The following is a 17,357-nucleotide window of genomic DNA, read 5'->3' on the forward strand; positions in this document are numbered from 1 at the left end:
AGAACACTAGTCATACCTTACTGTAATTGCATGTTTAATCACACACCTCCCCTCGATGCAGTAAAGGGAATGCTCAATAGATGTTAATGTTTATCCATACTCCTTCCTTTCCTTTGATCTGAATGTAGTCCACCTCCTGAGAGTCACTGCAGCATCTTAGACTCTGAAATGCGGCCTTTCCTGTTAAGTGATAGGCTATGATGAATTATTTGATGGTAGGAGCCATGCTATATTCATCTATTTATTCTTACCTTCTGGCACATAGTAGATGCTCAGTAAACATTAATCATATGAACAAATGCATAAGTAAATAAACAAATGAGTAGAATTAATGCCAGAAAACAAAGGAGACCATTGAATATAGATATGGTTGTCATTAATTTATAATATAACTTTTCCTTTTAATTTTGAAAAATTAAAAGCTGCTAAAGAGTTGAAAGAATAAGACAATGAACACCTATATAACCTTCACTCAGATTTACCAATTGTCAACATGTTCTAAGATACAATTTTCCTCACTCTATATGTATTTATTTTTCTAAAACATTTGAAAACACATTGTAGATGTCAAGACACTTCACTCTTAAATACGTGGGCACATATGTCCTAAGAAAAAGACATTCTCCTTTATATCTACAGTGTAATTACCATACCCAAGAGGGTTAATAACAATTCAATAATATCATCAAATACATGGTCAATATTTAAAGTTTCCCATTTTTTAAACAGTATGCGTACTTGCACTTTTTAAATCGAGAAATTAATAAAAGTTTATGCACTGTATTTGGTATTCATCTGTTTTTAGCCTTAAAGTAATTTTAAAATAAATAGCAATATGGTTAATGCTCACAATTTTAAGGCTGAGCTTCTTAGAGTGGTTATATAGTACAGTATATTGATTGAAGAGGAGTCACTATGTTCCAGAATTTGATTAACATATTTGCAAGTTCAGAAACTTAACATTATCTATCATCAAAAGATCATGCTCTGAGATATAAAGTACCTACTTGTCAACTTACCTCCTTATTTTCTACTGTATCTAGATGCTACCTTCCACAAGGCAATCTATTTTTGCTGATAAACAGTTCTGTTACTGTTATGTAACAGTGGGCTCACTGCAGCCTCAACTTCCTGTGCTCAAGTGAGCCTCGTGCATCAGCCTCTCAAGACCACAGACATGCGCCACACCACCACACCCAGTAGTTTTTGTATTTTTTGTAGAGACAGAGTCTTGCCATGTTGCTCAGGCTGGTCTTGAACTCCTGAGCTCAAGTAATCCCCCTACTTTGGCCTCTCAAAGTACTGGGATTAGAGGCATGAGCCACTGTGTTTGGCCCAAAATTTTGAATCACCACTGAGCACTGAGACATACCCACCTGGTGTTTGTCTTCCATGAGTTGACTCATTTAAGGAAGATGACTCTGCCTAAGTGAGATGACATTATAATATTATGGTCACCTATCCCTAAAAGAGGATGCATTTTGGAATCAGGAATGATATGGGGCTGTACCACATGAGCAAGTTGTTTGGTCTCCAAGTGGCTGACTCTGAATCCCTACTATTGTATTACAAACTAGAGTCTCCCTGCCATCTTTAGATGAGGCAGGACATTAAAAATATGGTATCTTTCTTGCCTGTGTCAGTGAATCTTCAGATAGGAAATTGTTTTTAATTTCCTTAGCCTAAAAGAATAATTAGTTTCCTCATCTGGAATGAGTATCATTATGAAATTATTATTAGCTTTGCTTTAGTAAATTATCTATAAAATATGAGAGAGAAGATTTGACTATAAAGCTAGTTTCAGCACACAGATTCAACTATGGCATCTTTTTAATAGCTTTATTGAGATATAATTTGTGTACCATACAATTAAACCATTTAAAGTACACAACTCTTTGGTTCTTAGTATATTCACAGTTATACAACCATCACCACAATCAATTTTAGAACATTTTCATCACACTGAAAAGAAATCATGTATCTATTAGCAGTCACTCCCCATTGCCTCCCAGAATCTTCCTGGCCAGGCCTGGCTAGGCACTATTCTACTTTCTGTCTCTATAGAGTTCCCTGTTCTGGATATATCACATAAAAGGCAGTACACAATATATGGTTTTTGTGAGTGGCTTCTTTAATGTAGCATAATGTTTGCAAGATTTATTCACTTTGTAGAATCCATGTTGTTGAAGCATCAGTACTACATTCATTTTCAGACAATAATATTTCTGTGTATTGAATATATAATATTTTGTTTATCAACTGACAGACTTTGGGTTGTTTTCACATTTTGCCTGCTATGAATAATGCTGCTATGAAGATTTATGAACAAGTTTTTATTTGAGCATGTTTTGCTTTCTCTTGGGTATATACCTAGGAGTGGAATTACTGGACCACATGGTTACTCTTTTTAACATTTGAAGGAAGTACCAAGCTGTTTTCCAAAGTGGCTGTATAAGTTTACCTTTCCACAAGCAATGTATGAAAATTCTAATTTCTCTACACCTTTGCCAACCATTGTTATTATTTGTCTTTTTGATTATAGTCATTTTAGTGAACATAAATTGGTATCTCATTGTGGCTTTGATTTTTATTTTTCTAATGACTGATGATGTTGAGTATCTTTTCATGGGCTTTTTGTCATTTGTATGTCTTCTTTAGAAAAATGTCTATTCAGATTATTTGCCTATTTTTTAATTGGGTTGTCTTTTTACTGTTGAGTTCTCAGTGTTCTTTCATATTCTAAATTCAAATCCCTTATCAGATATCATGATTTGCAAATATTTTCTTTCTTTCTGTTTCTCTTCACTTTCTTGGTATTGTCCTTTGAAGCACAAAGGTTTTTTATTTGAATAAATCTAATTTATCTATTTGTTTGTTTTATTCCTTGTGTGTTTGGTGTCATATCTAAGAAATCATTGCCTAACAACAGGTCACAAAGATTTATGCCTATATTTTCTTCTAAGGGTTTTCTAGTTTTAGCTGTGACATTAGAGTCTTTGATCAATTTTAAGTTGATTTTTTTATATGGTGTGAGCTAGAAGTCCAACTTCATTCTTTTGCAGGTTGATACTCAGTTGTCCCAGCATCATTTGTTGAAAAGAATATTCTTCCTCCATTAAATTGCTTTTGACGTCCATGTTGAAAGTCAGTAAGTCATAAATGGGAGGCTATATTTTTGGCTCTCACTTTTATTCCATTCATCTATATGTCAAATTTTATGCCAGTTTCATAATGTCTTGATGATTGTAGCTTTGTAGCACGTTTGAAATTGCAAAGTGTGAGTACTCCAACTTTTTTGTCTTTCAAGACTGTTTTGACTATTATGGATTCTTTCAATTCCCATACAAATTTTAGAGTTGGTTCATCAATTTCTGCAAAAATGTGAGCTAAGATTTTGATAGGGATAGTAATGAATCTGTAGATCAATTTGGAAAGTATTGTCTTCTTAAAATATTGAGTCCTTCAGTCCATGAACGTGATATATCTTCCCAGTTATTTAGGTCTGTTAACATTTCTTTCAGCATTATAAATGAGAATATAAGTTTTGCACTTCTTTTGTAAAATTTATTCCTGTTTTATTATTTTGGATGCTATTGTAAATAGAATTGTTTTCTTAATTTTATTTTCAGATTGTTCATTACCATCGTATGAAAATACCACTGATTTTTGTATATCGTATATTGATTTTTGTATTTTGTTTAGTTATCTTATACTTCACTGAACTTATTAGTTCTACATGTTTTTGGTATCTCAATGCAACAGTTTTTATTCTTTGTGTAACCCTATGGAAATAATTTTATTTTTCTTTTGGAACTAAAATACATGGTTGGTTTCATTTGCTAAGTAAAATTTGTTATGAAATTGGAGCAGCATATGTTAGGACTTGAAAATCTGCATCCAAATATTTGAAAAGCTGCTGTAGATATAGGCTGCATATTGGGCATCAGTTTGGACATTAGTGTGCATTTTACAGAGTTTTAAAATGCAAACTATTTTTTAATCTAAAAAAAGTACTTTTTATGTAAAGGATTTCATTAATCCTTAAGTACTTGTTAAGGAAAGAACTTGATCAAAATGATAGTACAATTAGATCAAACATACATTTAGAAAATAATTAAGACCATTTGGTTTCACTGAACAATGAACAGCCAGCTTATTGTTATTTCTCTATTAGTTCTTTTACTTATTTGACCATTCAATGATAATCTATTATGTGCCTACAACTCTAGTTAGAGAAGCAGAGATGAGACAATGTTCTTTTCCTCAAAGATCTTAGTCTAGCATCTGGTTGTAACTGGAAACCCCAAATTACTGTAGCTAATAAGTTTCTAATAAGCATAAATAATTATTAATAAGCTTGCTATTTAATACTTCTTAATCTTTCAAATACTATACAGAATACCTAAGAATAATATCTCTCAGCACAATTTCCCAGACATTTGAGGCAGTGATTTGGTGAACAAAATCTATATATAAGAAAAAAGTTTAAAAAGTATATAGCACAATTTTATAGTTTTGGGGTTGTGATAGCATGGCCATTCGGCAAATTTCGACTGCTCCATTTTTTAGAATAAAAGAATCAGAAATAATAAGAGGATCATTCCACAGGGCGGTCTAAAAGTAGAAATAGCTTCTGAAAAAGGTAAATCTAATATCATTTGCAGTTTAGCATAACCCAGGAAGTGACCACTAAAAGATCCTTTTGAAATTTCCTGAACCTTTGCTCCTGCCCAACATATTATTTCTGTTTGTTTTTCTATATGAATATCAATAAAACCCTTAAAATGGAAAGAATCACCAGGGAAGGGAGATCTGAGAGATACGTGCTTTTGCATGGCTGGCCCTGGAGAGACAGGAGCCACAAGGGAGAGGGCAAAGACCCTGGACTGAGGAGCCTGTTGAGGAGTCCCTTTAAAAGAGGTCTCTAGGCTGGGTGTGGTGGCTTATCCCTGTAATCCCAGCACTTTGGGAGACCGAGGCAGGCGGATCACAAGGTCAAGAGTTCGAGACCATCCTGGCCTACATGGTGAAACCCCATCTCTACTAAAAATACAAAAATTAGCTGGGTGTCGTGGCATGCACCTGTAATCCAGCTACTTGGGAGGCTGAGGCAGGACAATTCCTCAAACCCAGGAGGTGGAGGTTGTAGTGGGCAGAGATGCCTCCACTGCACTCCAGCCTGGTGACAGAGCAAGAATCCATCTCAAAAAAAAAAAAAGTCTCTAGGGCAGTGGTCGATGACCTTTTTGACACCAGGGACTGCCTTCATGGAAGACAATTTTTCCATGGACAGGGTGGTGGGTGGAATGTTTTCGGATGAAACTGTTTCACCTCAGATCATCAGGCATTAGATTATCATAAGGAGCACACAACCTAGATCCCTCGCATGCATAGTTCCCAATAGTGTTCGTGCTTCTATAAGAATCTAATGCCACTGCTGATCTCACAGGAGGTGGAGCTCAGGTGGTAATGTTAATTTGCCTACCACTCACCTCCTGCTGTGCGGCTGGGCTCCTAATAGGCCACAGACTGGGGTTGGGGACCCCTGCTCTAGAGGATTACTCCAGCTCCTGTGCTCCTACTTATTTCTTTTCACAAGTGTTTCCATCTCTCAGGGGAAAATACTTATTTTTTTCTTCAAGACTGTATTTCCATAAACCCCTGCCTTGTGTTCTGATGAATTCAAGAAAAGCAAACAAAAAACAAACTCATTTTTTCCTTATGGAATAAATCACTTTGGATTACATAGCAAAGGCTAACATTGATAGACTGCATATCCCATGCCAGACACTCTATATTTGCTATTTCACTGAATCTCCTAGGAGCTCCATGGTATATGGTATGTCCTGCAATTCCAGTCAATTTGCAGAAGACAGAAGTGAATTGTTTAGTTGGTCTTACAACTACTGAGTGCTGTGGCTAGGAATCAAAGGCTTCATAATCTTAAAACATAACCACCTTGAAGCTTCTTTCAAGCCCTTTCTTAATCCTGTTTTTCTAATGGCTATCTTGTTTACTGAATTCATCAGTACTTTGCTTTCTTGGCTAATATGATTTGCCCAAGTAGTAAACAGACTGTAAACCTCCCAGCTTCTGTTAAAGCAGTAATGCCAAGGGACTTACTGCCTCAGAGAACAGCTGTGTTATCTTCTCAAGTCACGATATTCCCCCAGGTCTCCGCATCTTTGTCTGTGAAACTCAGGAGTTAGATTTGATTATCTTTGAGCTCAAGGATTCTGTTGCTGATTTTCCGTTCTGGGAAAAATTATAGACGTCACAAATGCTTCCAGAGTATAATTGATTAAATCTCACTAGATCATTTTTGTTCCAGAACAAGGTCCAGAACGACCTTGTTCATTAAGAGAAAATTTTAAGGTCATTAAGAGAAAAATTTTTTCTTATCAAATCTTCTTTTAGGCAGCTAGGAAAATAAAAAATGTAAGCCTGAAAAAAAAATCAAAATTTTTGTGGTAAAATATACAAAACATAAAATGTGCATGTTAAGCATTAGGCACACAGTTCTTTGTCATTAAATATATTCACATCATTATGAAACCATCACTATCATCCATCTTCTGCCATCATCTTCTCCACTGAAACTGTACCCATTAAACACGAACTTCTCATTTCTCCCTCCTCCCAGCCCCTGACAGCCATATTTGATTTTTTGTCTCTGTGAATTTGACTCCTCTAGGAACCTCATATAAAAAAATGCAATCTTTCTCCTTTTGTGACTGGCTTATTTTACTTACCATAGTGTTTTCAAGTTTCATCTGTATTGTAGCTTGTGTCAGAATTTCCTTCCCTTTTAAGGCTGAATCATATTCCATTGTACAGCACATATACATACCAAATTTTGCTTATTCATTCATCTGTTGATAGACACTAGGGTTGCTTCCATTTTAGCTATTGTGAATAATGCTGCTACAAACATGGGTGTAGAAATATCTGTTTGAGTCCCCGCTTTCATGTTTTAAGGGTATATATCCATGTGGCATTTATATTTTGTGATAATTCTATGTTAAAATTTTTTGAGGAACTGCCATACCATTTTCTACAGTGCTACACCATTTACATTTCCACCAACAATGCAGAAGCGTCCCAATTTCTCCACATCCTTGCCAATACTTGTTACTTTCTGTATTTGTTTTGTTTTGGTTTTGATAATAGCTATCCTAATGGGTGTAACATGGTATCCCATTGTGGGTTTGATTTGCATATCCCTAATGACTAGTGATGTTGAGCATCTTTTCATGGGATTGCTATTTGTATATCTTTTTTGAAGAAATGTCCATTTAAGTCCTTTGCCCATTTTTAATTGGGTTATTTGGTTTCTTGTTCTTGAGTTGTTAAAAACTACTATAGTTTGAATGTGTCCCCTCCAAAATCCATATTGAAACTCCATTCCCATTTGGCGGTGTTAAGAGGTGGGGCCTTTCAGAAAGTGACAAAGTCATGAAGGATCCACCTTCAAGAATGGATCCGTGCCTTATAAAAGTGCTGGAGGAAAGTAGTTTAGGCCTTTTGTTCTCCTGCTGTTTCTCCACATGAAGATACATACACAGCATCATGCATGAGAAATGGGCCTTCACTGCTTGCTCTTGATCTTGGACTTCCCAGCCTTCAGAACTGTGACAAATAAATTTATGTTCTTTATGAATTAGCCGGCTTGTGGTATTTGGTTACAGTAACACAAATGGACTAAGACAGTAAGACAGGAGTTTTTTTAAAAAGATATTCTTGATGTCAATCCTTTATCAGATATATGACTTGCAAGTATTTTTTCCCATTCTGTGGGTTGCGTTTTTCACTCTGTTGCTAGTATCCTTTTATGTACAAAAAGTTTTAATTTTGATGAAGTCCAACCTATCTGCTTTTTAAATTTTGCTTCTTGTGTTTTGGTGTCATATCCAAAAAGTCATTGCCAAATTCAATATTATGAAGGGTTTTTAAATTTTTCTTCTATGAGTTTTATAATTTTTATCAGTTATATTTAGGTCTTTGATTCATTTTGAGCTCATTTTTGTATATGGTGTAAGATAAGCCTCCAACTTTCTTTCTTTCTTTCTTTCCTTCTTTTGTTCTTTTTGCATGTGGATATTCTGTGTTCTCAGCATAATTTATTGAAAAGATTGTCTTTTTCCATTGAATGGTCTTGGCCCACTTCTCAAATATATGCAAGCTTGTCAAATATATGCTTGTGGAATATACACTTGACCGTACATGCAAGATTTTACTTCTGGTCTGTCTGTTCTACTCCATTCCTCTATGTGTCTGTCTTTATGGCAGAACCACACTATATTGATTACCATGGCTTTATAGTAAATTTTAAAATCAGAAAGTATGGGATCTCCAAACTTGTTCTGAGTCAAGATTGTTTGGTTATTCGGGAAAAGTTAATTTTTTCATGTGAAAGTAAATGAACTTAAAAGTATGATTAAAATAAACATTTTATCACAGGAATACAATTACATATTTTATTCATGAATGAATGGGAACTTGTTGTCAAGGACCTATTTCTTCGGTGGGGGAGATGGGTTCTAAATGAGATACAAAGTAAACGTGAAGTAAAAGAAACTATTAACCAAGCAAATTTCAAAGAAGTAAGAAATTATTTCTGCTGAAGGTTAACAAAGAACATTTCCTTGAGGAGGAAGTGAAATTTGAACTCGGTACAAAAAACTTAGAAAGCCAAGTGGGGTAGGGGTATATTTGTTAATTAATTTGTTATTCTACTTTCTACTTCTACTTTAGTTCTATATGCAATGTTGGATACTTCTAATCTGTTTTTACATTATTTTTAAAGCTGTGGTTAAAAAAGAAAGCTCAAATAGCTACTTACGTAGTATCTATAATTTGTCTCTTCATGTACTTTTCCAACTTTGAAAAATAATTCCACAAATGTTTTCAACATGCTTTCAGAATTAATGATTTTTAAAGTCTCATTTAAAAAAATTATTTTGAGTTTCTATTTGGGGTGATAGAAGAGTTCTAGAAATAGATAGTGGTGATGATTACACACATTTTAAATGTATGTATTGCCACTGAATTGCAAACTTTAAAATGGTTAAAATGATACATTTTGTTATATCTATTTTACCACTATTTTTATAGAGACTAATTCACTGTCTCAGATATAATAATGTTTTATGAAATGAAAACTTCTTTAGATGTCGTCCAGAATAAAAAGAAACTATTATGTGTGTAGTTGACTACCTATGGGAAGTTTGAAACTTATTATAGGGAACATGGAAATATTGATAATTTCTGCTTTTATGGGTGGATTTATGCTTCAACGTAGGGAAACTGATGATGTGGCACTACGAATAAATAAAAGGGCATCCAAGAAATTCTGGAAAGTAAACCGGAAGATTTTTGTTTGTTTGTTTGTTTGTTTGTCTTGTTTGAGACAGAGTTTCGCTCTTGTTGCTCAGGCTGGAGTGCAATGGCGCGATCTTGGCTCACCGCAACCTCAACTGGAAGATTTTTATGTAAATGATACATTTAAAAGCAACTTAAGAGGAAAATGATTATTTAATTTCTCCAGATAAATACGAGAAGATATACACCCAAGTTGGAAAGTCAAGTAGATTGAGTAATTTTTCAAATGAAAATGAAGAGTCAATACCTTGTGCCTAGTCAAGATTTTTTGCTCCAAAAATGCAGAGGGCTTGAAGAGAGAAGTCAATCCAGGCCTGGTGGCCAACCAGAAAAGACCCCAGAGATCTTTGGCTTTTCCTCAACTCTATGAATTCTCTCTCCCTTGTGGGTTCTTTCAAAGATAAATCATAATCCTGAACATCAGATCCCCTTTCCTTGGTAGTCTCCAAGCAAGCATTCTAGATCAAAATGTCAGAAGGACCTAGAAAGGATTATTCAGCTCTTTAAAAGAACGGCAGATTGCCTGAGATGAATAAGGCTGTGAGGCGCTCCTTCTACTCCACAGTCAGCCTTTAGAATGTGCTCCTTTCAAATTTCTTATGCAGAAGTAAAGAGTAGCTCTAAGTTTGACTAGATTAGGAGCATGCCTGTGTTTACGAAATATTGGTTAAGGCCTACTTTGTGTGATGTAGAGTAAAAAAAATGAGTGAGACAAGGAAGCCACTGTCTTCAAGGAGCTTTGAGAAGAAAAGGAGACAAACTGACATAATAAATATTTGCAAAGCAGCTCAATAAGTATTAGACTCATGGTGTGTTCATTCATTCAGTGATCACTGATTAAGCGTCTTCCATGAACCGTTACTGATTCTAGGATATGGGCTGATATAAATGGATAACATGCACTTGTGCAACTACATATAGAACACTGAAAGTGCACTGCAACCAGAGAAGTGAAAAGGAGCAAGAGCCCTGGATAACTAACATGCAGCATTTATTGAACCTTTTCCATATTTCAGTCACTTTACTAAGCACTTTGCTTTTAACTCATCTATTCCTCATCATATTTTTTGAAATAGGAATTAACATCCTCACCTTATAGTCGAGGACACTAAGGCTTAAAGAGTTTAAGTAATTCACTCACATAATTGCATAATTTTCAGAAGTATTTTTGTCAAACAAATATAATCTGGTATTTGTTGTTTTTAAAATTAGTATCTACATGACAGAAAAAGAAGATATATGAAGAAAGTTCCTATGGACATACTGTAAATATGGTTTCCTCTGGGCAATAAGACTGAAAGAGAAAATAGATGATCAATTTTTACCATTTGTTTCTGATATAGTTTGGTAATTTTTCCCCACCCAAAGCTCATGTTGAATTGTAATCCCCAATGCTAGAGGTAGAGCCTAGTGGGAGGTGTTTGGGTCATGGCAGTGGATCTCTCATGGCTTGGTGCTCTCTTTGCAAATGAGTGAGTTTTCACAAGATCTGGTCATTTAAAAGTGTGTGGCACCTCCCCCACCCCACTTTCTCTCTCTGTGGCTCCTGCTTTGTCCCTGTGATGTACCTGCTTCCACTTTGCCTTCTGTCATGAGTAAAAACTCCTTAACGCCGCCCCAGAAGCTGAGCAGATGCTGGAGTTATGTTTTCAGCGTACAGCCTGCGGAACTGTGAGCCAATTAAACCTCTTTTCTTTATAAATTACCCACTCTCAGGTATTTCTTTTTAGTAATGCAAGAATGACTTAATACAATTTCTTAGTGATGTTTTGAATATTTTTATGACAACTGTCATACATTATTTTGTAGTAAAAAATGTTTTGCTTTAAAAAATGGGGAGGTGGGGAGTTCTCTAAAGTCACACGACAAGAGTTATTCAAACTCTGGGTTTTTTTACTGCAAATATTATATCCTTAGGCACCACATTGTTTTGCATCTAAACTCCAGTATAAAATATGTATAAGCTTCTACCTCCTTTACCTTCTGTAGGGCAGTTCTCTGGGTGCCCCTTTGGACAAACCCAGTTTTTCTGCCTTCCTCCCTTTTAGTTCTCAAGAATAACTGTAGAATGTGCTGGGATAAGGGGGAGCTAGTCCAAATAGCTCTGGCTTGTTCTAACCCCCCAGAAGAGGATGTTCATTAATACTTTAGCTCAGCATGTCATAATCCCCTGGGGCATAAAACCAGGGAAGGCTGTTTTCTGGGGTTTCTCAACTGCCTTGGGTGACTTTCCTGAGCCGTGAAGAACTGGCTCACAATGAATCCCAGGTTTCTGTAAACTCTTGCTGCTATCTATAATAAAATATCTAAATATAACTTGTGTGAGGGGTATTCTGTCTCACTAGATTCAGACAAATTGGTAATCAATGCACAGTGAACCTGTTTCACAACCCTTTTTGAATAATTCATCAGATATAGTTCTAGAGGCCCTGTTTGATGATAATAAAACTTTGTTAATTGAAAGAAAATTAAAAAGCTCTTACTATATTAAAACATGTTCAAACATTCCAACTAAGTCTTTAGAGGCTGGTAATAGAGGTCCCTTAGGAGGCCTGAGTTGCAGAGATCTTGCCTTGTGAGAGACATAGAGCAGACATTATGCTCAAAGAGTGCACAAGAAGTTCTGTAGCATTCTTTAGTTGTTACTTTGGTTTCGGTTTTGTTTTCCTGACAACAATTAATCTATATAATTCTCCAGGAATTATTTACTACCACTTCCATAATGAAGAGAGCTAGAAAAGAAGGAAGTGAATGTGGCAAGAGTCTTTTACATTTGTGAATTTATATTCTCTGTAGGAAAATAAAAGTCTATTTCTTTTGTGTCCTCCATCTAAGCTAGGTTAGAGTTATCTTCCCTTAGAAATCAAAATAATGGGAAAATGAAACAATTGGCATTCAATTGAAGCAAAAAATAAATAAATAAATGAGTATTAAGTTTGAGAAGCTTGTTGTTCATTGGGTCTAACCACGAAGTGATTAGCTTTCTATATTTAGTTGTCAGAAGAGGGATTTTCACTGGATACAAATATTTAAATGGCTTATTAATGGAAAAAACCAAACTAGAGATTTCAGGATTTGGGATGTGACTTCAAAATAGCAGTAAGAACATTTATTAAATGGTCAACTTTTTAATGCATAAATAAGCTTAGAATTAGAATACTGTAGTATAACTTCTCTTGAGTGTCCTTGTTGCACTTGAGTACAAGCAATCATCACTGCATCCATTTTCATTTTCCCTTGAGCTTGCTTTCCCTAATTAAGAGGGTTAGTAATGGCACTTACAGTTCATCTAATCTGGCTTTAAGTAATTATGGTTCATTGCAGCAATTACAAGTTACATTTATAAAGAACAATAAAGGGGAAAACCTTTCAAATGCAGTTTATTAGGCTTTGAAAACCTGCTACAGAATGGACACTCAATATATATTTACTAGGCAATCAAATACTTTAGTGAGAATATGAATTAAGACTAAGAAATTCACATCCATGACTGTCTTTAAACTGTGACTCCAAACCCATTTCTTCCACAATACTCTCCTAATACCAGAAAAGCACAGCCACTCTAATGCTTCTTCAGCATTGCATATAGACAACCCATAATATTAATTAACATAGTCCATAAAATATGGTTCTTTTAAATATTTCATGTTTTCTTTTCTGTTTATAGTGTTTTCATTTATACGTAAGTTCCATGAGGACAGAAATCATCATCTCTATTTCTTTTGCTTCTTTTGGCAGCTCCTATGCAAAATCTGCCTTGTGCCTTCCTTTTTCCTCACATTTCATTTAAACTCCCCTCCCACTTGGTCATCTTAATATCCTACTAGGGCCCTATTCTTTTGATACGGCCTTCCTGACCATTCTAAAACTGGTTCCTTACTCTATTGATTGCCTACAACATTTTCCACATCTACTACTTTGATTCCTGTATTAGTCTGTTCTCACACTGCTAATAAAGACATACCCGAGATTGAGTAATTTATAAAGAAAAAGAGGTTTAATGGACTCACAGTTCCACACAGCTGGTGAGGCCTCACAATCATGGCAGAAGGCAAAGGAGGAGCAAAGGCACGTCTTACATGGGAGCAGGCAAGAGAGCATGTGCAGGGGGAACTGCCCTTTCTAAAACTGTCAGATCTCATGAGACTTATTCACTATTACAAGAACAGCATGGGAAAAACCTGCCCCATTGATCCTATTACCTCCTACCTGGTTCCTCCCATGACACATGGGGATTATGAGAGCTGCAATACAATATGAGATTTGGGTGGGGACACAGCCAAACTATATCATTCCACTTCTGGCCCCTCCCAAATCTCATGTCCTTACATTTCAAAAACAATCATGCCTTCCCAACAATCCCCCAAAGTTTTAACTCATTCTAGGATTACCTCAAAAGTCCACAGTCCAAAGTCTCATCTGAGACAAGGCAAATCCCTTCCGCCTATAACCCTGTAAAATCAAAAGCAAGTTAGTTACTTCCTAGATACAGTGGGGGTAGGGTACAGGTATTGGGTAAATGCACCCATTCCAAATTGGAGAAATTGGCCAAAATGAAGGACTACAGGCCCCAGGCAAGTCTGAAATCCAGCAGGGCAGTCAAATGATAAAACTCCAAAAGGACCTCCTTTGACTTCATGTCTCACATCCAGATCATGCTGATGCAAGAGTTGGGCACCCACAGCTTTGGGCAGCTCCACCCCTGTGGCTTTGCAGGGTACAGCCCCCCTCCTGGCTGCTTTCACAGGCTGGCATTGAGTGTCTATGGCCTTTCCAGGTGCACGATGCAAGCTGTTGGTGGATCTACTACTCTGGGCTCTAGGGAATGGTGGCCCTCTTTTCACAGCTCCACTATGCAGTGCCGCAGTGGGGACTCTGTGTAGGGGCTTCCACCCCACATTTCCCTTCTGCACTGCCCTAGCAGAGGTTCTCTGTGAGGGCTCCAACCCTGCTGCAAACTTCTGCCTAGACATCCATGCATTTCCATACATCCTCTGAAATCTAGGTGAAGATTTCCAAACCTTAATTCTTGACTTCTGTGCACCCACAGGCTCAACACCACATGGAGGCAGCCAAGGCTTGGGGCTTGCACCGTCTGAAGCAACGGCCTGAGCTGTACGCTGGCCCTTTTAGCCACTGCTGGGACACAGGGCACCAAGTCCAGGGGACTTCACAAAGCACCAAGGCCCTGGGCCTGGCCCACAAAACCATATTTTTCCTCCTAAGCCTCCTGGCTTGTGATGGGAGGGGCTCCCTAAAGACCTCTGGCATGCCCTGGAGACATTTTCCCTAGTGTCTTGGTGATTAACATTTGGCTTCTTGTTACTTATGCAAATTTCTGTAACTGGATTGTATTTCTCCTCAGGAAATGGATTTTTCCTTTCTATTGCATTATCAGGCTGCAAATTTTCCAAACTTTTATGGTCTGCTTCCCTTTTAAATATAAGTTCCAATTCCAAACCATATATCTGTAAATACATAAAACTAGATTTTTTTTTAACAGCACCCAAGTTACCTCTTGAATGCTTTGCTGCTTATAAATTTTTTCCACCAAACACCCTAAATCATCTCTCTCAAGTTCAAAGTTCCACAGATCTCTAGGCCAGGGGCAAGAACATAGCAAGAGTCACCTTTATTCCAGTTCCCAAGAAGTTCCTCATCTCCATCCAAGACCCCCTCAGCCTGGCCTTTATTGTCCATATCATTATCAGCATTTTGGTTGAAGCCATTCAACAAATCTCTAAGAAGTTCCAAACTTTCCCACATCTCCCTGTCTTCTGAGACCTCCAAGTCTCTAGGAAGTTCCAAAGTTTCCTTCATTTTCCTGTCCTTTGCTGAGCCCTCTAAACTGTTCCAACCTCTGCCTCTTACCAGTTCCAAAGTCATTTCCACATTTTCAGGTATCCTTGTAGCAGTATCCCACTCTATTGGCACCAATTTACTGTATTAGTCTGTTCTCAAACTGCTGATAAAGACATACCTGATACTGGGTAATTATTAAAGAAAAAGAGGTTTAATTGATGCACAGTTCCACATGGATGGGAAAACCTCACAATCATGGCAGAAGGTGAAAGAGGAACAAAGGCATGTCTTACATGGCAGCAGGCAAGCAAATGTGTGCAGGAGAACTGCTATTTATAAAACCATCAGCTCTCATGAGACTTATTCACTATCATGAGAACAGCATGGGAAAAATCTGCCCCCGTGATTCAATTACCTCCCACCATGTCCCTCCGATTACACATGGGATTATGGGAGCTGCAATTCAAGATGAGATTTGTGTGGGGACACAGCCAAACCATATCAATTCCTATAACATATTGTCTTATATTATTAAGGATTGTTAACTCCTAAAAAAGAAAAAAAATACTGGCCTATTTGCCCTGTCATGTGTTATGAAACCTCGTCCATTCATTCAAAGAGTATTTATTAATTTTTTGTTTCAATCTTGAGCCCTCATCCTTTCCCTCTGGACTTTCTCTGTGGCATAATCATATATACTTGCAGGTCTTTAACTACCATCTACAGGCTATTAACTTTCAATAACTCCAACTCAGACCTCTCTTGAGAGATCAAGGCATGTATATCTAGTTTTCTCTCAATATCTCCTATCAAATATTTCATGGACATTTAAAATTCAACCAATCTAAAACTGAAGTCATCATCTCTCCCCCCACCCTAAACATCCACTTCATTGTTCAAGCTAGAAGCCTCATACCACCTGCCCTCTTTTATTACATCCAAATCTGATTGATCTTTCTCAACTATACCTGTTGTTCTTTGCATCTGCCACTAGTTTCGCCTATGGATATCTCTCAGCAAACTATTATCATAAGTTCCTAACTGTTCTGCCATGGAAAGTCGTAAATAAGACCAGCATTTTTTTTCTGAGACAGAGTCTCACTCTGTTGCCCAGCATGAAGTGCAGTGGTGTGACCTCAGCTCACTGCTACCTCAGCTTCCTGGGTTCAAGCAATTCTGATGTCTCAGCCTCCCAAGTCTCTGGGATTACAGGCATGTAATCCCATTGCCACCATGCTCAGTTAATTTTTTCTATGTTTAGTAGAGATGTGGTTTCACCATGCTGGCCAGGCTGGTCTCAAACTCCTAGACTCAAGTGATCCACCCACCTCAGCCTCCCAAAGTGCTGGGATTACAGGTGTGAGACAACTTGCCCGGCCTAGAACCAGACTTTTTTAAATATCCTACAAAACTCAGATGATCACACCCTTCACTACCTTTCTAACCCACCTTCTGTCATTCCACCTTGCTAACTGTGGTCTAACCACTTGAGACTCCTTTCATTTCCTCTAATACATCAGGTTCTTCCCATATCAGCCTTATACGTGCTATTTCCATACCTGGAATGTCCTTCTTTCCCCCATCCACCAAGCTGACTCCTCTGTCAGTTCTCAGCTTCACCTTCTCACAAACTAGGTTATACCATCACTAAACACTGAATACCCTTTCATGATACCTATCACATTCAATATTATCTTTGTGTATTTTCCTCTTTCCCACTAGGGACAAAAACACTGCTGTCTTGCTCACTACTATATTCCCTGGACCTCAAAAAGTGTCTGGCAAGTAATAGGGGCTCAATAAGTATTTGTTGAGTGAGAAGTTAATAATCTAACCAACTATTTCATAATTTCATACTATGTCTGCTGTAGACTAAGTGTGTCCCCAAAAATTCATGTGTTAAAACTTAATTGACTTTGCAATGGTAATAACAGGTGGGGCCTTAGGTGACTAAGTCATGAGGGTACAGCCCTAATGAATGGGATTCATGACCTTATAAAAGGTGAGAAAAAGCTGTTTACCACTACCTTCTTTGCCCTTCCATTTCTTCTGCTGTGTGAGGATACCTAGATGGTGTCATCTATGAGGAATGGGCCCTCACTAGACACCAAACATGGCTGCACTTGATCTTGGGCTTCCTCACTTCCAGAACTGTGAATAATAAATTTCTGTTG

At 37.1% G+C, this 17,357-nt stretch overlaps 1 long non-coding RNA gene across 1 annotated transcript in view, besides 1 other annotated feature; it reads right to left on the reverse strand.

Moving 5' to 3' along the window:
• Window positions 1-1,827: 1,827 nt before the first annotated feature.
• RNF217-AS1 (RNF217 antisense RNA 1) overlaps window positions 1,828-17,357 on the reverse strand; it is a 54,785-nt gene continuing 39,255 nt past the window's right edge. The window contains exons 6-7 of the long non-coding RNA NR_026876.1: window positions 13,773-13,833; window positions 1,828-6,444 (exon numbers count right to left, since the gene is read on the reverse strand). This is a non-coding gene — a long non-coding RNA (RNF217 antisense RNA 1). The remainder of the gene's footprint in view (window positions 6,445-13,772; window positions 13,834-17,357) is intronic.
• Window positions 6,075-6,275: a silencer, noted in NCBI's record as "peak6100 fragment used in MPRA reporter construct". NCBI's record gives its function as "represses an SCP1 promoter by STARR-seq MPRAs in K562 erythroleukemia cells {active_cell/tissue: K562}" and the evidence as "EXISTENCE:reporter gene assay evidence [ECO:0000049][PMID:32103011]".

This window comes from Homo sapiens, chromosome 6 (assembly GCF_000001405.40).
Source record: "Homo sapiens chromosome 6, GRCh38.p14 Primary Assembly".
Lineage (NCBI taxonomy): Eukaryota > Metazoa > Chordata > Mammalia > Primates > Hominidae > Homo > Homo sapiens.